General features: G+C 42.2%; 1 protein-coding gene and 1 long non-coding RNA gene across 10 annotated transcripts in view, besides 2 other annotated features; one reads left to right on the top strand and one right to left on the bottom strand.

Annotated features, from left to right (window-relative positions):
- SMN1 (survival of motor neuron 1, telomeric) overlaps positions 1-26,520 on the bottom strand; it is a 41,435-nt gene that overhangs the window by 14,110 nt on the left and 805 nt on the right. For 2 of the 9 annotated variants that reach the window (XM_047417615.1, NM_001297715.1), the window contains exons 2-7: positions 13,356-13,427; positions 10,758-10,877; positions 9,708-9,908; positions 9,396-9,548; positions 7,513-7,608; positions 6,090-6,200 (exon numbers count right to left, since the gene is read on the bottom strand). In XM_047417615.1, the coding sequence (XP_047273571.1) occupies positions 6,090-6,200; positions 7,513-7,608; positions 9,396-9,548; positions 9,708-9,908; positions 10,758-10,877; positions 13,356-13,427 (753 nt within the window). Of the gene's footprint in view, positions 1-117; positions 326-5,341; positions 5,560-6,089; positions 6,201-7,512; positions 7,609-9,395; positions 9,549-9,707; positions 9,909-10,757; positions 10,878-13,355; positions 13,428-26,520 lie in introns of those variants that run through there. The other 7 variants (NM_000344.4, XM_011543596.2, XM_011543597.2 and 4 more) reach the window with 7 other exon arrangements.
- Positions 18,701-19,429: an enhancer, noted in NCBI's record as "OCT4-NANOG-H3K27ac hESC enhancer chr5:70228664-70229392 (GRCh37/hg19 assembly coordinates)". NCBI's record gives its function as "activates a minimal SCP1, AML or CMV promoter by ChIP-STARR-seq in primed H9 embryonic stem cells {active_cell/tissue: H9 hESC(primed)}" and the evidence as "EXISTENCE:reporter gene assay evidence [ECO:0000049][PMID:30033119]".
- On the top strand, positions 19,426-21,022 carry SMN1-AS1 (SMN1 antisense RNA 1). The gene has a single exon (NR_185500.1). It is a non-coding gene; the product is annotated as an SMN1 antisense RNA 1 (long non-coding RNA).
- Positions 19,499-20,490: an enhancer, noted in NCBI's record as "OCT4-NANOG-H3K27ac-H3K4me1 hESC enhancer chr5:70227603-70228594 (GRCh37/hg19 assembly coordinates)". NCBI's record gives its function as "activates a minimal SCP1, AML or CMV promoter by ChIP-STARR-seq in primed H9 embryonic stem cells {active_cell/tissue: H9 hESC(primed)}" and the evidence as "EXISTENCE:reporter gene assay evidence [ECO:0000049][PMID:30033119]".

Genomic DNA, 26,520 nt, shown 5'->3' with positions numbered 1-26,520 from the left:
TATAAAATGGCATCATATCCTAAAGCTCTTTATTGTGAAAGTATGTTTCTTCCACATAACCAACCAGTTAAGTATGAGAATTCTAGTAGGGATGTAGATTAACCTTTTATCTAATAGTTTTGGCATCAAAATTCTTTAATATTGATTGTTTTACATTAACCTTTCAACTTTTTAACATCTGAACTTTTTAAATGTTCAAAAACATTTGTTTTCCACAAACCATAAAGTTTTACAAAAGTAAGATTCACTTTCATAATGCTGGCAGACTTACTCCTTAATTTAAGGAATGTGAGCACCTTCCTTCTTTTTGATTTTGTCTGAAACCCTGTAAGGAAAATAAAGGAAGTTAAAAAAAATAGCTATATAGACATAGATAGCTATATATAGATAGCTTTATATGGATGTTAAAAAGCATTTTGTTTCACAAGACATTTTACTTATTTTATTCAACAAAATATGATCAGAAATTAAGTTGATAGTCTTTTAATGTACTTTAAAAGTTATCCCAAAGAAAACAATTATTAGGCTGCAGTTAAGGTTTTCTTGCAGTGGCTCATGCCTACAATCCCACAACTTTGGGAGGCGGAGGTAGGGGGATCACTTGAGACCTGGAGCTTGACACCACCCTGGGCAACATAATGAGACCCTGTCTCTACAAAAAATTTAAAAATTAGGCCGGCGTGGTGGCTCAGGCTAGGCACAGTGGCTCACGCCTGTAATCCCAGCACTTTGGGAGGCCGAGACAGTTGGATCACCTGAGCTCAGGAGTTCGAGAACAGCCTGGCCAACATGGCAAAACCCCATTTCTACTGAAAGTACAAAAAATTAGCCAGGCATGGTGGTGGGGACCTCTAATCCCAGCTACTTGGGAGGCTGAGGCAGGAGAATCACTTGAACCCAGGAGGCGGAGGCTGCAGTGAGCTGAGATTTACACCACTGCACTCCAGCCTGGGTGACAGAGCAAGACTCTGTCTCAAAAAAAAATAAATAAATAAAAATAAAAATTAGCCAGGTGCAGTGGCATTATCACTGTAGTCCCAGCTACTCGGGAAACTGAGGTGAGAGGACTGCTTGAGCCCTGGAGGTCAAGGCTGCAGTGAGCTGTGAATGTGCCCTTGCACTCCAGCCTGAGCAATAGAGTGAGACCTGGTCTCTAAAAAATAAAATTTAAATTTAAAAAATTTAAAAACATTGCCGGTCACAGTGGCTCATGCCTGTAATGCCTTGCACTTTTGGAGGCCAAGGCGGGCGGATCACCTGAGGTCGGATTTGGAGAACAGCCTGACCAACATGGAGAAACCCCGACTCTACTAAAAATACAAGACTAGGCCGGGCACAGTGGCTCACGCCTATAATCCCAGCACTTGGGGAGGCTGAGGCGGGTGGATCAAAAGGTCAGGAGATCGAGACCATCCTGGCTAACACAGTGAAACCCCATCTCTACTAAAAACACAAAAAAATTAGCCGGGTGTGGTGGCGGGCACCTGTAGTCCCAGCTACTCGGGAGGCTGAGGCAAGAGAATGGTGTGAACCTGGGAGGCAGAGCTTGCAGTGAGCCAAGATCGCGCCGCTGCACTCCAGCTTGGGGGACAGAGCAAGACACCCTCTCAAAAAAAAAAAACAAAAAACAAAACAAAACACAAAACTGGCTGGGCGTGGTGGCATATGGCTGTAATCACAGCTACTCGGGAAGCTGAGGCAGGAGAATCACTTGAACCCAGGAGGCGGAGGTTGCAGTGAGCCGAGATTGCACCATTGCACCCCAGCCTGGGCGACAGGGCAAAACTCCATCTTAAAAAATAAATAAACTAATTAATTTAAAAAAATATTTTTCTTCCTTTTTTTTTTGAGACGGAGTTTCGCTCTTGTTGCCCAGGCTGGAGTGCAATGGTGCAATCTTGGCTCACCGCAACCTCCGCCTTCTCAGTTCAAGCAACTCTCCTGCCTCAGCCTCCCAAGTAGCTGGGATTACAGGCATGCGCCACCATGCCCGGCTAGTTTTGTATTTTTAGTAGAGACAGGGTTTCTCCATGTTGGTCAGGCTGATCTGGAACTCCCGACTTCAGGTGATTCACCCGCCTTGGCCTCCCAAAGTGTTGGGATTACCGGCGTGAGCCACTGCGCCCAGCTGATTTTTCTTCTTTCAGTATGTCCAATGATGTTCCTGAGCCCGCTTATACCTTATTTTTTTTTTTTTGAGATGGAGTTTTGCTCTTATTGCCCAGGCTGGAGTGCAATGAGGTGATCTCGGCTCACCGCAACCTCCACCTCCCAGGTTCAAGCAATTCTCCTGCCTCAGCCTCCTGAGTAGCTGGGATTACAGGCATGCACCACCACGCCCGCCTAATTTTGTATTTTTTTTAGTAGAGACGGGGTTTCTCCATGTTGAGGCTAGTCTCTAACTCCCGACCTCAGGTGATCCGCCTGCCTCGGCCTCCCAAAGTGCTGGGATTACAGGTGTGAGCCACCGTGCCCGGCCTATACCTTATTTTCATCAAATAAAATATATGACCTTAAACTACCTGTGTCATACTTATTAAAATGAGACCATTAAACACCAGTATTCACTAAATAAAAAAAAAATTTAAAGTCAAAAATTAATACTAAAACATTTGTTTTTCTTGTCAGATCTAGCCCAAATGTCCTCTGTCTCTCTTCTGGCTTCAATGCTTTCTATCTTTCCCTACATGTATACTAGCTTGCAGTGGCTTCCCACTTCATTACTAATCTACACCTAACAGACCGTAAGATGTATTGAAAGATTTGTTACTAATGAGTATCAAAGTTATAACCTATTTTATGTTATTTCAACAACATTATTCTTAGTCATTTGCATTCTGCTTAGATTTCTAAGACAAAAAGATAGAGGTTAAAAGCTAGACTCAGAGCCTATCTCAACCACGTGGCTTCAGTAGAACAAAGGTTAAGAATTGTTAGCTTAAGGCAATGACGTATTAAAAACACTTAAGGCCAGGTGCAGTGGCTCACGCCTGTAATCCCAGCACTTTGGGAGGCCTAGGCAGGCAGATCACGAGGTCAGGAGATCGAGACCATCCTGGCTAACACGGTGAAACCCCATCTCTACTAAAAATACAAAAAATTAGCCGTGCATGGTGGCACACGCCTGTAGTCCCAGCTACTTGTCGGGCTGAGGCAGGAGAATGGTGTGAACCCGGGAGGCAGAGCTTGCAGTAAGCCAAGATCATGCCACTGCACTCCAGCTTAGGAGACAGAGCAAGACTGTCTCAAAAACAAAAACAAAACAAAAAAAACCCAAAAAACCAAAAAAACAAAAAGAACACAAACGAATGTTCATAGCAACATTATTCATTATAGCCCAAAAATAAAAACAACCTAAATGTCCATGAACTGATGAATGGATAAAATGTGATATAACCAAACAACAGAATATTCAGCAATAAGAAGGAATGCAGTACTGGTGCATTCTACAGCATGGATGAATCTTGAAAATAGCATGCTAAGTGAAAGAAGCCAGACACAAAAGACCACATATCGTATAATTCCGTTTATATATAATATCTAAAATAGACAAATTCATAGAGACAGAAAGTGTACTGACTGCCTAGGGCTGGGGAAAATGAAGGTAACAGGGTTTCTTTTTGGGGTGATGAAAATGTTCTTAAATTGTAGTGATGGTTGCATAACTGAAAACCAAAACCACTGACTTGTATACTTTCTTTTTTATTTTATTTTTTGAGACAGAGTCTCGCTCTGTCGCCCAGGCTGGAGTGCACTGGCACAATCTCGGCTCACTGCAAGCTCCACCTCCTGGGTTCACGCCACTCTCCTGCCTCAGCCTCCCGAGCAGCTGGGACAAAAGGTGCCCGCCAACATGCCCGGCTAATTTGTTTTTGTACTTTTAGTAGAGACGGGGTTTCACCATGTTAGCCAGGATGGTCTCGATCTCCTGACCTCGTGATCCACCTGCCTTGGCCTCCCAAAGTGCTGGGATTACAGGCGTGAGCCATTGTGCCCAGCCAACTTGTATACTTTCAAAGGTAAACTGCACACCATGTGAATTATTTCTCAAGAAAGTTATTTAGAACATAAATTATACCAATACTTTATATATACATTATGTATTTTTTTCAAATATTTCATAATTTAAAAAACACAAAAGCCTACAGTGTTACAGTCAGATAACTGATCTCAAAACAAATTACAAGCTGTTGATTTATTACTTTTTGGTCATTAAAATGAGGAATTCATGATACATACAATATACCAAGGTTATACTACAACAACTGAAGCGTGACTTTTTTTTCCCTCCGCAAATTCTCACTCTGTTGGCCAGGCTAGAGTGCAGCGGTGTGATCTCGGCTCACTGCAACCTCTGCCTCCCAGGTTCAAGTGATTCTCCTGCCTCAACCTCTCAAGTAGCTGGGATTACAACTGCCCGCCACTGGGCTAAGTTTTGTGTATTTAGTAGAAATGGAGTAGTCACCATGTTGGCCAGGCTGGTCCTGAACTCCTAACCTCAAGTGATCCACCTGCCTCTACCTCCCAAAGTACTGGGATTATAGGTGTGAGCCACCGTGCCAGGCCTTTTTCTTTTTTTGAGATGGAATCTCACTCTGTCACCAAGGGTGGAGTGCAGTGGCACAATCTCAACTCACTGCAACCTCTGCCTCCCAGATTAAAGCAATTTTCCTGCCACAGCCTCCCAAGTAGCTCGGATTACAGGCATGTGCCACCATGCCTGGCTAAATTTTTTTTGGTATTTTTAGTAGAGACAAGGTTTCATCATGTTGGCCAGGCTGGTCTCAAACTCCTGACCTCAAGTGATCTGCCTGCCTCGGCCTCACAAACTGTTGGGATTACAGTTGTAAGCCACCATGTCTGGCCTTAACTTTTAAATAAGAATATTAATGGGGGCACACACAGATGATACATTTAAAAACATACACCTTTAAGTCAGTTGTTTCTTCTATATTAATTTACTAAAAATACAAGTGCCTACAATATCACATCATAATTTTAGCAGGGCACAAGAGCTTACTTTTAAAAATAATTTTAGGCCGGGCGCGGTGGCTCACGCTTGTAATCCCAGCACTTTGGGAGGCCGAGGCGGGTGGATCACGAGGTCAGGAGATTGAGACCACGGTGAAACCCCGTCTCTACTAAAAATAAAAAAAAATTAGCCGGGCGTGGTGGCGGGCGCCTGTAGTCCCAGCTACTCGGAGAGGCTGAGGCAGGAGAATGGCGTGAACCCGGGAGGCGGAGCTTGCAGTGAGCCGAGACTGCGCCACTGTACTCCAGCCTGGGTGACAGAGCGAGACTCCGTCTCAAAAAAAAAAAAAAAATAAAATAAAATAAAATAATTTTAAATGTTCTGACTAAAATACAATAGAACATGTCCGTAGGAGACTAACGTATAAAGTGACAAGTTTGAAGCCATACTCCCCAAGGTTCAATGTGGTACACATTACCCCAGATCTTTGTGCATTAAAAAAATTTCATTTCTCTTGGAAGGCCGAGGCGGGTGGATCACGGGGTCAGGAGATTGAGACCATCCTGGCTAACACAGTGAAACCCTGTCTTTACAAAAAAATACAAAAAATTAGACAGGCGTGGTGGCAGGCACCTGTAGTCCCAGCTACCTCTGAGGCTGAGGCAGGAGAATGGCGTGAATCCAGAAGGCAGAGCTTGCTGTGAGCCAAGATCACGCCATTGCACTCCAGCCTGGGCAACAGAGCAAGACTCCGTCTCAAAAAAAAAAAAAAAAAAAAAAGAATTTCATTTTTCATTTATGAAAAATTATCCCATCTTTTCCATTCCCTACAATCAATTTCAAATCAGAGATTAAAACATTATTTAGAAAAAGTATAATTTCAATTCAAAAGTGTATAATCAAAATAATCTAACAATAGCATGAAAGCTTTTTAAAATTAACTAAAATTATACTTAGGGACAATGCAAGAGTAATTTAAGCCTCAGACAGTTGTATTTTTTTATTTTTATTTTTTAGTAATATAAAGAGAGAAGCAAGTAGTATTTTATAAATTTACAAAACAAAGTCACATAACTACAAAAAAATTGTCAGGAAAAGATGCTGAGTGATTACTTACCATATAATAGCCAGTATGATAGCCACTCATGTACCATGAAATTAACATACTTCCCAAAGCATCAGCATCATCAAGAGAATCTGGACATATGGGAGGTGGTGGGGGAATTATCTGGAGACAGAAAAAGATATTGTTTATATCCAGTAAACAAAAAAGTAAAGTCTGGAGATTTATATTATATAGTGAATGCTGGAAATTAATTGTATTTTTGCTTATATAATCTCCTACTTAAATTTCTTTTTTTTCCCCTAAACAAAGACGAGGTCTTGCTATGTTGCCCAGACTGGTCTCAAACTCCTGAGCTCAAGTGATCCTCCTGCCTCAGCCTTCTAAAATGCCGGGATTACAGGCATGAGCCACTGTACCTGGCCTTAAATTTCTTAACATAGCTAGCATTTGGAGAAAACCAACCAATAACAACAAAAGACCAACAAAATTAAATTTAACGAGGACGAAAAGACAGCAAGTGACATAAAAAGTTTAAACATTTTGATTTAGACTATGTATCTGTTCCACTATGAAGCTATGAGTAAAAAAAAAAAATCAAGCATAAATACTTTCATGCTTTTCCTTAATACACACACACACACACACACACACACACAGCTCACATAGCATTTCGAGGGCGATTTTAAGTAAATGTCTTGGGTAGAACACCTGTTCTAACCCCATCCCAATACACAGTATGCCAAAAAGTATCTTTTTATCTATTGTTAATACCTAAAAATCTACCATTAGAAATCCAGTTTACAGCTGGGTGCGGCAGCTCACGCCTGTAATCCCAGCGCTTTGGGAGGCCAAGGCGGGTGGATCACCTGAGGTCAGGAGTTCAAGATCAGTCTGGCCAACATGGTGAAACCCCATCTCTACTAATAAAACAAAAATTAGCCGGGTGTGGTGGCAGTCGCCTGTAATCCCAGCTACTTGGGAGGCCGAGGCAGAATTGCTTGAACCCAGGAGGCGGAGGTTGCTGTGAGCTGAGATCACACCACTGCACTCCAGCCTGGGGTACAAGGGCAAAACTCTGCCTCCAAAACAAAAAAAAAAAAAGAGAGAGAAAGAAAAAGAAATCCAGTTTACATCAGAAGCTAACATCCAACTATACCTAGAAGGGCAAACACTAATTCCTTATATAAGGTATAATTAAATCCCTTCTAACAGGAACTACCTCCTTATGGCATAGACACCAACTTCTGCCAGGAAAGAAGGCAACCTAGAGCTTAGACTTGGGACTACAAGAGCACTGCATCTGGGTAACAGAAAGGCATTAAAAACAAACAAAACCCAGAGGTTTAGTTCAAATTTCTACCCATTAGAATCTGGCCCAAGGGATGTTCTACAATGACATTTTACAATCCTCTATTCTGCTAATTATCAAATTGTATGTGAAAGCAAAATCTAACCTATACTCTTTTTTACTTACTGGTGGTCCAGAAGGAAATGGAGGCAGCCAGCATGATAGTAAGTGGGGTGGTGGTGGTGGCGGTGGCGGTGGTGGGCCATTGAATTTTAGACCTGGCTATAAGGAATATTTCAAAGGAAAATTAACTTACCAATTTCAATATGATAGGAATAAAAAGGACTCAAAACCAAAAGGATAAAAATAATTACCCAGAATATTTGTTTTATACATATCAAAAAGATTAAGTGAAATTTCATGTACCAAATCCTGAAGTCAAACAGACTCATAAGTCAAATGACAACCTCTGGATTTTTCTCATTTCCTTTCTATGTAGACATTAAGGAAGTAAAACAAAATAAGAGTGGTGATTACCTAATAAATCAGAGACAGTCTATTTAGCAAAATTATTTCAATCATAAAAGACTATATCCCAAATTTCATTAACTAAATTGTATATTTTTATGAAAGCCTGTTTAGCTATACATGCCAACTTAGAGGACATATTGTGAAAACTAGCAAATCTCTCCTTATAAAAATCAGCCCCCTGAGACCAATGAAGCATGATGTATATATCCTAAGAGGGTACATCATTTTAGATTCAAGAAACTGTAATATAATGTAAGCCTCAATAAGAACATTATCACAGAAAATCTTAAAACTTTTGGTGAGTCATGCTTGTTTTTTGAAAATGACTGCCTAGGCTAGGCGCCTGTAATCCTAGCACTTTGGAAGGCCAAGGTGGGGAGATCACTTGAGGTCAGGAGTTCAAGACCAGCCTGGCCAACATGGTGAAACCCCATCTCTACTAAAAATACAAAATAAGCCGGGTGTGGTGGCGGGTGCCTGTAATCTCAGCTACTTGGGAGGCTGAAGCAGGAGAATCACTTGAACCCAGGAGGTGGAAGTTGCAGTGAGCTGAAATGGTGCCACTGCACTCCAGCCTGAGCGACAGAGCAAGACTCCATCTCGAAAAAAAAAAAAAATTGCCTAAATACCATTCCCTCCATGGAAGAAATCACCGCTTTACACAAAAGAACTAGAAAGGGACAAGCCTTAAGGTTCCATGACATAATCTAACCTATAATAAAAATCTTTTTAGAGTTGATTTCTGTTACTTATAACCAAAAGGACCATAAATGAAAACAATATTTACATTTGAACTCTACAAAACAATCTGAGAGCGCCTCAGGATTTTATCTATATTAGATGTAAATAATGTGTTCTTATTTTACATATCTTATACAGGTGACATGGGAAACAACAGCATATCATCCAGCTAATGATAAATTATTATTACACTTTTTTTTGTTTTGTTTTGTTTTTTTGTTTGAGATGGAGTCTCATTCTGTCGCCCAGGTTGGAGTGCAGTGGCACGATCTTGACTCACTGCAAGCTCTGCCTCCGGGGTTCACACCATCCTCCTGCCTCAGCCTCCCGAGTAGCTGGGACTACAGGTGCCCGCCATCACGCCCGGCAAATTTTTTTGTATTTTCAGTAGAGATGGGGTTTCACCGTGTTAGCCAGGATGGTCTCGATCTCCTGACCTTGTGATCCGCCCACCTTGGCCTCCCAAAGTGCTGGGATTACAGGCGTGAGCTACCGCGTCCGGCGCATTATTATACTTTCTAACTTAAGTAAGTGTGCTAATTATTAGTCTAATACCTAATACTCCACAAAAGTTAACTGGATAAATCTTTCATATAAAGTATTTTGTTGCATCCACTGCAGTGTCTAACATTTTTTTAAAAAATTAACTATTTTGCATCATTATCTTATTTCCTTTTCAAAAAATTCTTGTGTATTTAAGCTACAAAAGTTTCATGGGAGAGCTACAAATTAGTTAACAGAGAGGTTAAATGTCCCGACATTAACTATTTTCTGGAAAACTTTCATAGAAGGTTTACCTTTCCTGGTCCCAGTCTTGGCCCTGGCATGGGGGGTGGTGGAGGGAGAAAAGAGTTCCATGGAGCAGATTTGGGCTTGATGTTATCTGATTTATTTCCAGGAGACCTGGAGTTCTCACTTTCATCTGTTGAAACTTGGCTTTCATTTTCATTCTTTAAAAAGAAAAAATATGCAGGTTTTTGTTATAAGGGTGTGATTAAGAAAAAATTAATGCCTCGGTGGATCAAACTGACAACTGTGTATACTGTTTAACAGTTTCTCATCTAGTCTCTGCTTCCAGAAATTGAATTTTTTTTTTTTTGTATCCTTACCTCTTGAGCATTTTGTTCTATATTATTAGCTACTTCACAGATTGGGGAAAGTAGATCGGACAGATTTTGCTCCTCTCTATTTCCATATCCAGTGTAAACCACAACACAGGTTTCTCTCTTAAAATCAATTGAAGCAATGGTAGCTGGGTAAATGCAACCGTCTTCTGACCAAATGGCAGAACATTTGTCCCCAACTTTCCACTACAAAAGAAATCAAAGATATATACATGCACACATTTCTTTTGAAGAGGGCAAACTATCATCTCGTTTTGATCAGTGGGGAGGTGAAGGATAGAGGGTAGAGATTTGGAAGGCAAAATGATGTAATGAGAAAGGCTTGGGGTCTAAATACATAAATCTGAATTCCAACTCTCTTACATTTATAATCATGGACAAGTTTCTGAATCTCTTTGAGTCTTAGTTTCCCCATCTTATTAGATGGCTATAATATAAACTACCTCCCATATTTGTTGTGAATAGCGGGAGGGAGATAAAATGCGTATGGTGCCCAGCACTCTGGACTGGCCTAGAGCAAGTGCTCATCAACTGTTAGCTCTCTTCCCCCTTGGTAATGATGAAACTAAAGTTGGCTCAAAAGACACCAAAATATTCAGCTTTCAGGACTACTGCTTTTAACTAGCAGAAATAATCTACCTAGACTTCTGGGTTCCTTGGAATTAACAGTTTTAGAGTTTTTAAAGAAAAAGGGGAAAAAAAAATCTATCTCTCAGCTTAAGATGTAAAACACTGCCAATTCAGCTTACGGCTCTTGGGTACTCCTTCCAAACGGCACCTTCTCCCTGCCTTCCATTCACAAATGGAACACATGTCCTGATTTTAGCATTTATCATTCCCATCTAATTCTTTATACTTTCATGACTAATATGCATGTTCCTAAATAACAGAAAATTTAATAGTTGTTTTTGAAGTTGTATAAGTATATGTCAATAGAAACACTGTACTAATCACTTAAGTTAAAGACATTTTACACTATTAAATAAGGACTAATGAGACATCCTTTGAAGTTAAATCTCAACATTTTAAAATAACCTGTTGTAAGGAAGCTGCAGTATTCTTCTTTTGGCTTTTATTCTTCTTAGCAGGTTTTCTTTTAGGTGTGGTTTTTGGTTTACCCGAAGTTTCACAAATGTCACCATTCTTTAGAGCATGCTACGAAAATAGGAATAAAAATGTACATGTTACAGGGTGGTGCACAGAATAAAAGTCACGACATAACCCAGTTACTACTATAAGCTAGTCTCAAGGCTCCGTCACCTCAGAAAGCACCTATTTTCTCTTTTGACCACCCCCTGCACTATAAAAACTGCTCTTAAAGGCATCATACACCTGACATCAGCTCTAAAGACCCTTTTAATCAAATCTCCTTGCTCTCAACCTCTCTGTAACATTAGACCCTGTTAATTATCTTTCTTCCTGATATTCATGGCCCTTTGGATGTCATAGCAATGTAGGGCCCCAACGGTTTCATTACTTCTGATCAAGCCTTAGATTTAGGCATTCCCAATAAGAGCTGGCCATCCTTCTTTACTTGCTTACGGCCATTATTTTATTTATTTTATTTTTTTACACAGAGTCTCACTCTGTCACCGGGCTGGAGTGCAGTCACACTGATCTCAGCTCACTGCAACCTCCACCTCCCAGGTTCAAGCGATTCTCCTGTCTCAGCCTCCCGAGTAGCTGGGATTACAGGCGTGCACCACTGTGCACAGCTAATTTTTGTATTTTTAATAAAGACGGGGTTTCACCATGTGGGCCAGGCTGGTCTTGAACTCCTGACCTCGTGATTTGCTCGCCTCAGCCTCCCAAAGTACTGGGATTACAGGCGTGAGCCACCGCGCCCGGCCAAGGCCATCTATTCTTATTACTTTAGTTGCAACTGTCTGCAAACACACTTCTGAAGCTATTAATCCAGCTGTGACTTTTCTCAATCTAACATTTCCAATGATCAATTTCACATCTTAATTCATACCTCAAACTCAACCTCAACTTAATTCATATTCAACCTCAACTTAATTCAAATTCAATCTCAACTTAATTCATACTCAAACTCACTACTAAAACTATCGTTTTCCCAAATCAGTTCTTTTCCTCCTTTACTCAGATTACTTCTCCCTGCAATATCACCAACCCATCCCACATCGAGCCCCATTTCAATCTCTATTTTATAGAATTCTCTTGGTAATTCTTTAGTCGACTTCTAGTTTCAGTGTATACTGGAAAGCACATTTAAAAATCTAGGCCGGGTGCAGTGGTTCATGCTTGTAATCCCAGCACTTTGGAAGGTCAAGGCGGAGGGATCTTTTGAGCTCAGGAGTTCCAGGCCAGCGTGGGCAACAGGGTGAGACTGCATCTCTACAAAGAATACAAAAATGAGCTGGGTGTGGTGGCACACACCTGTGGTCCCAACTACTCAGGAAGCTGAGGTAGGAGGATTGTTTGAGCTCATGAGTTGAAGGCTCCAATGAGGCATGATCACGCCACTACACTCCAGCCTGGGTGACAGGGCAAGACCCCATCTCAAAAAAAAAAAAAAATCTAGAAATCAGTTACAAAGGTGACATAGAGGTCTGATCTTTAGCTCATGTTACAAGAGTAACTATGAGAAAGACATGAAATCTGTATGCTTGGTGCTCTTTATACACTGTATGAGTATATGCTCTGTTTGCTCAAGGTAGTCTGGACTATTGTTTGCTCAAGGTAGTCTGGACTATTGATGACCCATATTTAGTGCTCAGTAAGACTAAACATCTCAGAGAATGGAGAAGGTGATGATGTTGGCCAACTGTGTAAGTGTCCTGTTTGAGACACAGAACCATACTACATTTCCTAAAAGAACTGTATATTCCTACCCAATAGGAACACTTGAATTGATACCCAACTTACAGGATTTGGGATGATTAGAGTAATTTAATATATGAAACGCACACAGAGCACTGTCAGCATGCTACAAATATTAATTGCTGTACTAATGCTATTTATCTTCATCATTATTTTACTACATGCTTGTTAAATGTTTAAAATTATAATTCAGATTGTCTTTTTCTTATTAATCTCAATTAGAGGACTTCCATAGTTTGATACAATGTAAAAATACTAAAAGGAATACATTGTTTGTTCGTTTTCTGAGATGGAGTCTCACTCTATCGCCCAGGCTGGAGTGCAGTGGTGCAATCATTGCAACCTCTGCCCCCCAGGTTCAAGCAATTCTCCTGCCTCAGTGTCCCAAGCAGCTGGGATTACAGGCACGTGCCACCATGCTTGGCTAATTTTTGTATTTTTAGTAAAGACGGGGTTTCACCATGTTGGCCAGGCTGGTCTCAAACTCCTGACCTCAGGTGATCCACCCGCCTCAGCCTCTCAAAGTGCTGGGATTACAGGAGTGAGCCACCATACCCAGCCAGGAATAAATGTTTTAAATTTTATTTAAATTGCCTCCACAAAGGATGACATATATAGGCTATCAACTTCTAAAGGAGGATATCACCTGATTTAACTAACTCATACTACCATCTAATCTTCAAAATGAAAACTGAATAACATGTACTTTAACACTTTATCGTATGTTATCAATTCCTTTCCAAATGAATAACGAGAAAATAAGAAAACGACTAAGCAAGCATTTCATACCTTAAATGAAGCCACAGCTTTATCATATGCTTTTATCAGTGCTGTATCATCCCAAATGTCAGAATCATCGCTCTGGAAAGGGTAAGAAATAAAAACAACTCATGTTCAGATAGGTTTAATCAGAAAATGTATGTTAGTACCAAGAGTCATCTTAATCCACACATAACAAAATTACACTGAAAATGAGTATTTAAAATCCTAAATAAAGCCACAGGAAACTTACCTGGTTAGAGGTTATGTGACTTTACTCCAAAAGCTAGACATAGGTAAATGTTCTAAGAATGAATGCCATCAAGTGAATGCCCCTACAATTTAATTCCTATCCACATACCATGAGTAGATTTGTTCAAGGCCAGCTATATTTATTTCAATTAAGATCAGATAAAACTTGACTTCATCTAGACTACGGGAATGCTGTTCTGACCTCAGAACCTATGATCCAAAGAATATTTTTTCTTTTGAAATTATAATGTTTCCAGATTATAAGGATACAAATTGTTAATAGTGACTAACCAATTTTCATTTTATTATTATTATTATTTTTTTACTTCCATTTCCCTTTCCTGCTTTCCTGGTACCAATTTTCTTTCCTTCCTTTTCTTTTCCTTTCTTTCGTTTCTTTCTTCTCTCCCTCCCTCCTTCCTTTCTTCCTTCCTTCACTTCTCTTTCTCTCTTCTTTTTTTCTCCCCTCAAATTCCTGTGTTCAAATGACCCTCCCACCTCAGCCCACTGAGTAGTTGGGAATATAGGTGCATGCCACCATGCCTGGCTAGTTTTTAAAATTTTTTGTAGGGACGGGGTCTCGCCATCTTAGCCAAGCTGGTCTTGAACTCCTAGGCTCAAGTGATCCTCCAGCCTCGCTCGGCCTCCCAAGTGTGGGAATTACAGGCATGAGCCACTGCACCTGGAAATATTTTTGTCCAGACATGGTGGCTCATGCCTGTAATCCCAGCTACTTGGGAAGCTGAGGCAGGAGAATTACATGAGCCCAGTTGTTGGAGGCTGCAGTAAGCTATGATCATCCCATTGCCCTCTAGCCTGGGTGACAGAGGAAGACCCTGTCTAACAACAACAACAACAATAACAAAATAATAATAATAATAAATAATTTTTTAGCACTATCTGCTAGCACTGTGCAAGTCACTGAGAGATATATAGAAACATGGTACTCTCCAGTTATTATCTAACTAGGGATTTAAGACTATCACACAAGACAAAACAAAAAACAATATAAAACAAATCTTAACAAACATCAAAATGTGAAATACAAACAGTATTTTAATTAAAAAGGAAAGAAATTAATGTCTACTGCAAGATCATATGGAGGAAACCGGCCTAAGAAATAAAAACCACTCACGCCTGTAATCCCAGCACTTTGGGTGGCCGAGGTGGGTGGATCACGAGGTCAGGAGTTCGAGACCAGCCTGGCCAACATGGTGAAACCCTGTCTCTACTAAAAATACAAAAATTAGCCGGACATAGTAGCACATGCCTGTAATCCCAGCTACTTGGGAGGCTGAGGCAGGAGAATCACTTGAACCTGGGAGGCAGAGGTGGCAGTGAGCCAAGATCGCGCCACTGCACTACAGCCTGAGAGACATAGCGAGACTCTGTCTCAAAAAACAAACAAAACAAAACAAAACAAAATAAAACAAAACAAAACAACAGGATTTAGGCCGGGCATGGTGGCTTGTAATCCCAGCATTTTGGGAGGCCAAGGCAGGTGAATTGCTTGAGTCCAGGACTTCCAGACCAGCCTAGGCAACAGGGTAAGAACCTTGTGTCTACTAAAAATACAAAAATTCTGGCCGGGCGTGGTGGCTCATGCCTGTAATTCCAGCACTTTGGGAGGCAGAAGCAGGCAGATCACGAGGTCAGGAGTTCGAGACCAGCATGGCCAACAAGGTGAAACCCCATCTCTACTAAAACTACAAAACTTAGCTGGCGTGGTGGCAGTCACCTGTAATCCCAGCTGCTTGGGAGGCTGAGGCAGGAGAATCACTTGAACCCGGGCGGCAGAGATTGCAGTGAGCTGAGATTGTGCCACTGCACTCCAGCCTGGGTGACAGAGTGAGACTCTGTCTCAAAAACAAACAAACAAAAAAACCAAATTTAGCTGGGCATGGTGGCACATGCCTATAGTCCCAGCTACCTGCAGGGGCTGAGGCGAGAGGATCACCTGGGCCCAGGAAGTTGAGGATGCAGTGAGTGGAGATGGCGCCGCTGCACTCCAGCCTGGGTAACAAATTGAGACCTTGTCTGGGAAAAAAAAACAAAAAAAAACAAAAAAAACCCCCAAAAAAAAAAAAAACCCAACAGGATGTGCATAGGTAGACAAAATAGAACGCATTCCAAGTAAGAGCATGAACAACAACAAAAAAGGCATGGAAGCAAAAATAACACTAACTATAAGAATTTATTTATGTAAGGTAACTAAGTAGTCAAATTTATAGAATTAGAAAGAATGGGCCAGGCGCAGTGGCTCACGCCTGTAATCCCAGCACTTTGGGAGGCCGAGGTGGGCAGATCACCTGAGGTCAGGAGTTCGAGACCAGCCTCAACATGGAGAAACCCCTTCTCTACTAAAAATACAAAATTAGCCGGGCGTGGTGGTGCATGACTGTAATCCCAGCTACTCGGGAGGCTGAGGTAGAATTGCTTGAACCTGGGAGGCGGAGGTTGTGGTGAGTCGAGATTGCACCATTGCACTCCAGCCTGGGCAACAAGAGTAAAACTCCATCTCAAAAAAAAAAAAAAAAGAATGATGATTACCAAGGGCTAAGTGTAAGGAGAAATGGGAATTTGCTAATGGGTAGAGTTTCAGGTTGCAAGACGAAAAACTTCCGAAGATCTATTGCGCAACAACATGAACATACTTAATATTACTGAACTATATACTTAAAAATGGTTAAAATGACAAATTTTTTTACTTCAATAAAAAATAAAACACACTGTATGAGGGATTAGTGAGACAAGTCCAAATAGAATCCAATTTATACTATAGGGTAGAGTTGGATTTGGTATACTAGAGAGTATTTTGGATTTGGTATAGTATTAGTCAATGAATTCCAAAAAAGTTTGTTATAAAATTCACTGAGTTGTAATATTACTTTTTGTCATTTTCCTGTTTTTTTTTTGTTTTGTTTTGTTTTCTCTTGAGACAAGAGTCTCGCTATGCCACCCAGGCTGGAGTGCAGTGGCATGATCTCGGCTCACTGCAACCTCTGCCGCCCAGGTTCAAGTGATTCTCCTGCCTCAGTCTCTCAAATAGCTGGGATTATAGGCGCCCACCATCAAGCTGGGCTAATTTTTGTATTTTTAGTAGACATGGGCTTTCATCATCTTGGCAAAACTGGTCTCGAACTCCTGACCTCAAGTGATCCTCCCACCTCAGCCTCCCAAAGTGCTGGGATTACAGGCATGAGCCACCGCACCCAGGCTTGTCATTTTCCTGTTAATCTCCGTTATATAGAGACAAATGTATTCCAATATAAAATGTCAATCTTGCTGTATGATAAAAAGTACTTAATAATCCCAGCCTGGGCAACATGGCAAAACCCCATCTCTACAAAAAGTACAAAAATTAGCTGGGCGTGGTGGTTCACATCTGTAGTCCCAGCTACCCAGAAGGCTAAGGTGGGAGGGCCGCTTGAACCAGGGAAGAGGAGATTGCAGTGAGTGGAGATCAGAGATCGTGCCACTGCACTCCAGCCAGGGTGACAGTGAGACCCTGTCTCAAAAAAAAAAAGTACTTAAGATCATTAAGTCACTTTGCAGATAAGAAAAGTAATCACAAAGAGGTTAACTGACTTAAGGTTACATTCGCACTTGGAAGGGAAGATATTCCTTGGAGATTTGGTAAAAGGAATAAAAACAGGCTGGGTCCAGTGGCTCACACCTATAATCTCTGTCTCGAAAGAAAAAAAGGGGGGTAGGGGGGAGGCTGGGCACGGCAGCTCATTCCTGTAATCCCAGCACTTTGGGATGCAGAGGTGGGTGGGGTGGGTGGATCACTTGACATCAGGAGTTTGAGACCAGCCTGCCAATGTGGCAAAACCCCGTCTCTATTAAAAATACAAAACTTAGCCGGGCATGGTGGTGCACACCTGTAGTCCCAGATACTTGGGAGGCTGAGGCAGGAGAATTGCTGGAACCCGGGAGGCAGAGGTTGCAATGAGCCAAGATCACTGCACTCCAGCCTGAGTGACAGAGTGAGACTCCATCTCAAAAAAAAAGGAAGCAAACAGTAGAAAATGAAGGGTGGTCCTGAAGAAATAAAGAAATCACAAAATCAAGGCCAGTGATATCAATAGAAGAGTGCAGTCTTAAAGCAAGATACATAGACAGATGGCAGCTCAAACTCCTCATATCTCAACTGTTATTGCCAGACCAGGAAACAAGTAATTTCAAAACGAACAGAAAACAAAGCGACAGAAGAAAAGGTAATACTGATTACAAGGTACCCAAGGACAAATACATCTGACTGAAAATCTAAGGAGCACCAAAGCAAAGCCATGAAAAAGAACCAAAGGAACAAAAATAAATAAGAAGCAAAATGGTTGATACATTGGCAAACAGTATTTATTTAACGTATGTATAAATGGGGTCCCTGAAGAATAAAAACAAAACAAAACAAACAATCTTCCTGGTGGTCTAGTGATTAGGAATTTAAAAAAAAGAAAAATTCCTAGGGATGGGAGGAAGAACCCCCTCCCATCCTCAGAGAGCCTCTAAGCAAAAAGACTAAGTTACAAAATAAAGAAAATCAGTTATCATTAGACTTTCTCATAGAAATTTATGGGGAAAAAGTATGAGCCAAGAATTTTATATGCAGCCTAGCTGTCCTTGAAGTAGCAAGACTAAGAAAAGTCTAAAATGTAGAAGAATACCGTACTCACTAGCCTTTCCAGGGTAATCTATTGAAAATACGCTTCATCCAACCAAGATATGACCAGGGAAACTTGGGTTTTAAAAATAACAGAACTGGCCAGGCATGGTGGTTCACGCCTGTAATCCCAACACTTTGGGAGGCCGAGGTGGGTGGATCACCTGAGGTCAGGAGTTCAAGACCAGCCTGATCAACATGGTGAAACCCCGTCTCTACTAAAAATACAAAATTAGCCGGGCGTGGTGGCGCATGCCTGTAATCCCAGCTACTCGGGAGGCTGAGGCAGAAGAATTGCTTGAACCTGGGAGGTGGAGGTTGTGGTGAGCCAAGATCGCGCCACTGCACTCCAGCCTGGGCAACAAGAGCGAAACTCTTGTCTCAAAAAAAAAAAACGAAAAACATAAAACAGAATTGTTAGCATCAAATATATTTAATTGTGGATCTAAGAGGAAAGTAGTGTATTAAATTGAAAAGCTGATTCTAAAATTTATATGGAACTACTAAGGACAAAAATAAACCAAAGCTGGACAATTTACATTATCTAACTTTAAGACTGTAAACCAGAAGTAGCTAAGACAGGTTTCAATCAATTTAGAAAGTTTATTTTGCCAAAGTTAAAGACGCTCCTATGACACAGCCACAGGAGGTCCTGATGACATGTCCCCAAGGTGGTGGGGTACAGCTTTGTTTTATACATTTTAGGGAGACATGAGGCATCAATCAATATATGTAAGATGTACATGAGTTCTGTCAGGAAAGGCAGGACAACTCAAAGTGGGGGTAGGGAGGTTTCTAGGTCATAGGAAGATTTAAAGATTTTCTAATTGGCAACTAGTTGAAAGAGTTATTATCAACAGAAAGGAATGTTTGGGTTACCATAAGGGGTTGTGGAGACCAAGGTTTTATCATGCAGATGAAGCTCCCAGGTAGCAGGCTTCAGAGAGGGTAGGTTGTAAATGTTTCTTTTCAGACTTTAAGAGTCTGTTCTATCAGTAATTCCAAAAGGTAGTAGGGTGTGATGAGACATGTCCAACTCCCCCTTCCCATCATGGCTTGAACTAGTTTTTCAGGTTAATTTTGGAATGCCCTTGGCTGAGAGGATGGGTCCATTCAGTTGGTTGTGCAGGGGCGGGGGGGGCCTATAATTTTATTTTTGGTTTACAAGACATACCCTGAAGCAATAGTAATTAAAAGTGTAGTACTGACATCAATATACACTAATAGACAATGTAACAGAATTGAGAGTCAGAAATAGCCCTGTGATATATGTGACTGATTTTAACTAAAGTTACAAATGTGGTTTAATAGAGAAAGCATAGTAGTTTCAAGAAATGGTGGTAAAACTATTGGAAATCCTTATGCAAAAACAAACCAAATTTCCACCTACACTGAGCCACATATAAGAATTAATACAAAATGGATTACAGACCTAAGTGTAAAACTAAAACTCTAAACTGTGTAAAAAAAAAAAAGAGAGAAAAATCTGTGATCATGGATTGCCTATAACAAAAGAACAAACTGAAATGGCCTTGTTGCCTGGGGTGGCACCCGAGGTTCTTGGTCTCACGCTGAGGAAATCAAGGACGCTGACACACCAAGGGTGTGAGGCTAGAGCAGAAGTTTAATAGGCAAAAGAAAGAGACTAGCTCTCTCCTGCAGAGAGAGGTCCTGAAAAGAGTTCCCATTCCACAGTGAAATGCAAGCATTTTTATAAATGAGCTAATGGGAAGGGGGTAGCTTATCTACACATAGGGAGCAAAAAACCAGTTAGGACCAGGTGTTGCCATCTGCACAGAGCGTGAATCTCTGGCATCCCCCACCCCAACCTTTTATTATGCAGGCAGGTCCTTGGCCTGAGCTACTCCACATTGCTTATCTCTTTCCTATTGTGCATGTGCTAAATAAGGGGAGGTGGAGCCACCATGGTGGACATGCCTGGCCCCAGGTACCCCTTTCTCTCCGTGCAGCTGCAGGCAACCCCAACAACTCACAACATGCAAGCTTCCAGCTTCCTTATCTGAGTATGTACTAAGGTCCACTGTGTTTACTTCACATACTGTGTTTACTTCACATACCCACCTTACGTATGTGAAGCTTGCTGATTACCCAGGAAGCTCCCCCTCTGTGCCAGAGCTGCTTCCTTATACATGTTTACAGCCCGATCTTCCAGGCTGCTCCTTGTTAGAAGAGAAGTGATTTCTTGGGCTGCTTTTTGTTAGAAGGGAAGTTCTACCGAGGACTCTGTCTAACTATCGGCTTACCTAGTCTTTTTTTACCTCCTCTCTCAAAACCATCAAAGAAAAAACTGAAAAATTAGATTTCAGCAAAATTAAGATTTTCTGTTCTTAAAAAGACGTTGTTAACAAAATGAAAAACCAAAGTGTAAACCGGGAGAAAATACATGCAAGTTACCTATCTGATAAAGATATTGTACCCAGCAAACATGAAGAACTCTCAAACCTCAACAACAAAAAAATTCAATTAAAAGATGGGTAAGTTGGCCGGGTGCAGTGGCTCATACTTGCAATCCCAATCTTTGGGAGGCTGAGGCAGGAAGATTGCTTGAGCCCAGGAGTTCACGACAAGCCCAGGCAACATAATGAGACCTTGTTTCTACAAAATTTTAAAAAATTAGCCAGGCATTGTGGCGTGTGCTCGTAATTTCAGCTACTCAGAAGGCTGAGACAAGAAGACTGAGCGCAGGAGGTGGAGGCTGCAGTAGGCTGTGTGATTGCACCACTGCACAACAGCCTGGGTGACAGAGTGAGACACTGTCTCCAAAAAAAAAAAACAAAAAAAAAAAAAACCCAAATGATTTGAATAGACACTTCACCAAAAAAGATATACGGATGGCAAATACACTCATGAAATGATCAACAGCAGCACTGGTCATTAGGAAATGCTAATTAAAATCACAAGAAGCCACTATATCTATTATAATGCCTAAAATTAAAAAGACTGACCATACCAGGTGTTTGCAGGGACACTGAGCAAATGGAACTTTCATACATTGCTGGTCAAAATGCAAAATGGGGGAGCTGTTCTGAACCTATTTAGTTGTGGGGGCTGTCCAACTTTTGAATTTTTCTTTGCTCAATTAATCTCTGTTATATTAAAAAGTAACATGGTACAACCACCACTTTGAGGAAGAGTTTGACAGCTCCTTAAAGACTTAAAATACATCTACCCTGAGACCTAAGTATTCACTCAAGAAAAATGAAAGCGTATGTCTATACAAAGTCTTCTTTAAAATTTTTTATAGAAAATTTTTAATTTTTGATTTTAAAATAAAAATAGAGGTTTCACCATGTTTCCCAGGCTGGTCTCAAACTCCTGGGCTCAAGCGATCTGCCAGCCTTGGCTATATGAAGTCTTATACACTAATATTCATAGTGGCTCTACTTGTTAACAGTCCCAAACTGGAAAAAGCCCAAATGTTCACAAGCAAGCGAATGAATACAGTATAGTATATACATGCAATGGGATACTACTCAGCAATAAAATGGATGAAAATCAAAATAGCTATGATAAATAAAAGAAACGTGACAAAAAAGGTACTCTATCATTCCACGTTTATAAAAATTCTTAAAAATGCAGGCTAATCTATGGTGACAGAAAGTAGATCAGTGGTTGTCTGGGGACAGGACAAGGAGGGATGAAAAGGATCACAAAACAGCAATCCAACTGAGGCCACCATGCTATAAGGAAATCCAAACCAGCCCACACATTGAAACCACATAAAGAAATCTTCATGAGACTACATGAAAAAAAGAGATAGCCTGCCAATCCCTAGCTGCTCAGTCCCCAGCTACTGTAGCTCTAGCAACTATGTAGGTGCAACCACGAGACAGCCGCACGAAAACTGCCCAGCACGGCTCTCACAAATTCCTAACCCACAGAAACAATGAGAGATAATAAAATGTTCTTTGTTGTTTCAAGCCACTAAGTTTTGGCAGATTCGTTACACAGCAACGGCAGCCAGAACGGACCACCAGGACTGCCTTTATATCTGATTCTCAGTCATTTCCAGTAGCTCAGATTTCTCAAATTATTCCCAACACCCTGCCATCTTCTACCTTCTCCTACCACTTCCTGAAACTTCCACTGTGCTCCCTTGAGTAATTCATAAAATCCACTCTTTTAACCTCTGAATCATCCCTTCATTTCTTGCTCTAAGTAAAATCTAGCTCCCTGAGGATGCCTTTTCCTTTCGCAGCCATCTCAAATGATAGATGTTTCCTCTTTTCTCCTCCACACACTTCATATCACTGTACCTACTGGAGATGTGGGGAAGAAATCTTCCCTGCTCTGGCTGGCGCGGTGGCTCACGCCTGTAATCCCAAGCGCTTTGGGAGGCCGGGGTGGGCGGATCACAAAGTCAGGAGATTGAGACCATCCTGGCTAACACGGTGAAACCCCGTCTCTACTAAAAATACAAAAAAACAATTAGCTGGGCGTGGTGGCGGGCGCCTGTAGTCCCAGCTACTCGGGAGGCTGAAGGAGGAGAATGGCGTGAACACGGGAGGCGGAGCTTGCAGTGAGCGGAGATCTCGCCACTGCACTCCAGCCTGGGCGACTGAGCCAGACTCCGACTCAAAAAAAAAAAAAAAAAAGAAAAAAGAAATCTTCCCTGCTCCTTACTTGCACTTTCAGATTATTCTCCTCCATTCCCCTCTCAAAATTCCCAGCCTTGAAAATCCTGACAAAAAGTAGCCAGGCATGGTGGTCAGCACCTGTAGTTCCAGCTACTTGAGAGGCTGAAGTGGGAGAATCCCTTGAGCTTGGGAGGAGGTTGTAGTGAGCCGTGATCGCGCCACTGCACTCCCACCTGGGCAACAAAAAGAGGCCCTGTCTCGGGGGGGGGGAAAAAAAGAAAGAAGGAAAATCTTGTCACCAGACTCACAGTCTATTATCGTTTCCTATTGCAGTCACCTACAGCCTACCGAGTCACTCTTCCTCATTCCTTAATGTTTACATCGCAGTTCTCTCTCCAACACTACTCCTGTCATAATTTTTGGTGATTTAAATATCCATGTAGATGATCCCTTCAATTACCCTATATTTGCAGGTCTCTAAACTCCTCTCCACCACAATCTTGTACATCCTCTGATGTGGTGCAGCTCTGTGTTCCTACCCAAATCTCATGCTGAATTGTGATCCCCAGTGTTGGAGGTGGGCATGGTAGGAGGCGACTGGATCATGGGGGTGATTTCTAATGATTTAGCACCATCCCCAAGTGCTGTTTCCTGATAAGCGTTCTCACAAGATCTGGTTGTTTTAAAGTATGTAGCACTTCCCCCTTCTCTCTCTCTCCTGCTGGCCATGTGAAGACTGTGCTTGTTTCCCCTTCACCTTCCACCATGACTGTAAGTTTCCTTAGGCCTCCACAAGAGAAGCCTGTACAGGCAGCAGAACTGTGAGCTGATTAAACCTCTTATCTTTATAAATACCTGGTCTCAGGTATGTCTTTGTAGCAGTGTAAGAATGAACTGATACATCCCCAAATCTCAGCTACTCACTCACTTCAACTGTATTTATTTATTATAACCAATAACCACAACCTCTCCATAAATGCAGTTTCAAGAATCCCACTCTCTTAACCATCACCTTCTAGGCTCTGCAACTTACTCCTACTAGTGATTTGATGGGGACAATCATTCCACTTCATTAGGACTGGCAGTACATTGATCCTCCCACTTTTTTTTTTTTTTTTTTTTTTTTTGAGGCAGAGTCTCATTTTGTCGCCCAGGATGGAGTACAGTGGCACGATCTCGGGTCACTGCAAACTCCACATCCCGGGTTCAAGTGATTTTCCTGCCTCAGCCTCCCTAGTAGCTGAGACTACAGGCACCTGCCACCATGCCCAGCTAATTTTTTTTTTCCAAGAGGAGTCCTGCTCTGTCGCCCAGGCTGGAGTGCAGTGGCGCAATCTCGGCTCACTGCAAACCTCGCCTCCCGTGTTCAACTGATTCTCCTGCCTCAGCCTCCCAAGTAGCTGGGATTATAGGCACGCGCCACCACGCCCGGCTAATTTTTGTATTCTTTTTTTTTTTTTTTTTTTAAAGACAAAGTTTTGCTCTTGTTGCCCAGGCTGGAGTGCAATGGAGTGATCTCAGCTGTCTGCAACCTCTGCCTCCCAGGTTCAAGCAATTTTTCTGCCTCAGCCTCCCGAGTAGCTGGGATTATAGACACGTGACACCATGCCCGGCTAATTTTTGTATTTTTAGTAGAGACAAGGTTTCACCATATTGGCCAGGCTGGTCTCGAACTCCTGACCTTGTGATCTGCCCAACTCGGCCTCCCAAAGTGCTGGGATTACAGGTGTCAGCCACAGCGCCCGGCCGATCCTCCCACTTTTTAAACTGTCTCTCAGGGTCTTAAAATCCTCACTTCCTTTCTTTTTTTTTTTTTTTTGAGGTGAAGTCTCACTATATCGTCCAGGCTGGAGTACAGTGGCGTGATCTCGGCTCACTGCAACCTCCACCTCCTGGGTCCAAGGGATACTCCTGCCACAGCCTCTTGAGTAGCTGGGATTACAGGCACCTGCCACCATTCCCGGCTAATTTTTCTGTATTTTTATTAGAGATGGGGTTTCGCCATATCGGCCAGGTTGGTCTCAAACTCCTGACCTCAGGTAATCCACCCACCTCAGTCTCCCAAAGTGCTGGGATTACAGGCGTGAGCCACCGCGCCCGGCCTCTCACTTCCTTTCTTAGCCAGCTTAAATTCCATGGTCAATCATTAAGAGAACTCCTTTGTACTTCTCCCCCTCACTTCTTCATATCCACGTGGTAAAATCACAACTGCATTAATTTCAACTCTCCATTTACTCTGTGGGTGCCCTCATACACAATCTTGCTGTCTGGTCTCCTTCAACTCATGACCACGAATCTCAAGTAGGCTCTTTATGTTGCCTAGCAATATTTCCACTAAACTTCCCTAGTCCAACCCTTGCCCACTCTTCTAAAGAACTATCTACTTCCCATCTTCTCTTTCCTCTCCCATCCCAGCTTCTAGCTGATAACCTTGCTTCTTTCACTAAGAGAACAGTAAGAATCAAGAGAACTTTCAAAATCTCCTGCCATCCTATCTGCCCATTCACGTATCATAGATGTGTTAACTATATAGCTGTCACCAAAAGAACCGCTAATGTTTCCAACAAAGGCCAAATCCATCCCTTCTTACCTACTCTAGGACATTGCTCTAGCCATTGTCTTCTTTCCGACATCAACTTTCCCATTCTCATCTTTCCTATCAACCCACAAACATGCTGAAACATGTTGCTCCTATCTTAGTGCAGTGGCTCACACTAGTAATCCCAGTACTTTGGGAGGCAGAGGTGGGAGGATAGCTTGAGGCCAGGAGTCCAAGGCTGTAGTGATTCATGATTGCGCCACTGGCACCCCAGCAGCCTGGGCAACAGAGCAAGACCCCCCTCTTTTAAAACCACACACACATAATTAAAATTCCTCTTAACTCACTTCCCCCTCCATTTATTGCCCAATTTCTCTACCCTCCATTTATAATAAAATTTCGTGGTGGCTCACTCCTTTAGGCCCAGCGACTCCAAAGGAGGGTCGCTTGAGGCCAAGAGATCAACGCTGCCATGGGCTAGGATCATGCCACTGTACTCCAGCCTGGGCCACAGAGAGCGAACTTGTCTCTAAAAAAATTTTTTTTAAATAGAATTCCTTGAAATATGCCTACCGATGTTTTTATTATTTATTTATTTATTTATTTATTTATTTGAGACGGAGTCTTGCTCTATCGCCCAGGCTGGAGTGCAGTGGCGCGATCTCGGCTCACTGCAAGCTCCGCCTCCCGGCTTCATGACATTCTCCTGCCTCAGCCTCCCGAGTAGCTGGGACTACAGGCGCCCGTCACCACGCCCGGCTAATTTTTTGTATTTGTAGTAGAGACGGGGTTTCACCGTGTTAGCCAGGATGGTCTCGATCTCCTGACCTTGTGATCCGGCCGCCTCGGCCTCCCAAAGTGCTGGGATTACAGGCTTGAGCCACCGCGCCCGGCCGTTTATTTTGTTTTAAGACAGGGTCTGGCTCTGTCGCCCAGGCTGGAGTGCAGAGGCGCAATCACAGATCACTGCAGCCTCCACCTCCCTGAGCCTTCCAAGGCCTGAACCTTCCAGGTAGCTGAGACCACAGACGCGCACCACAACACCCGTCTAATTTTTGCAGACTCGGAGTCACACTATGTTGCCCAGGCTGGTCAAATGTTGCCTTGGATTTCTCTTCTCCTACTCTCCAACTCACTCCAGCC

Source organism: Homo sapiens, chromosome 5 (genome assembly GCF_000001405.40).
Source record: "Homo sapiens chromosome 5, GRCh38.p14 Primary Assembly".
NCBI classification, from domain to species: domain Eukaryota; kingdom Metazoa; phylum Chordata; class Mammalia; order Primates; family Hominidae; genus Homo; species Homo sapiens.
The sequence above is the reverse complement of the archived record's forward strand: the minus strand, read 5'-3'. Positions and strand labels throughout refer to the sequence as shown.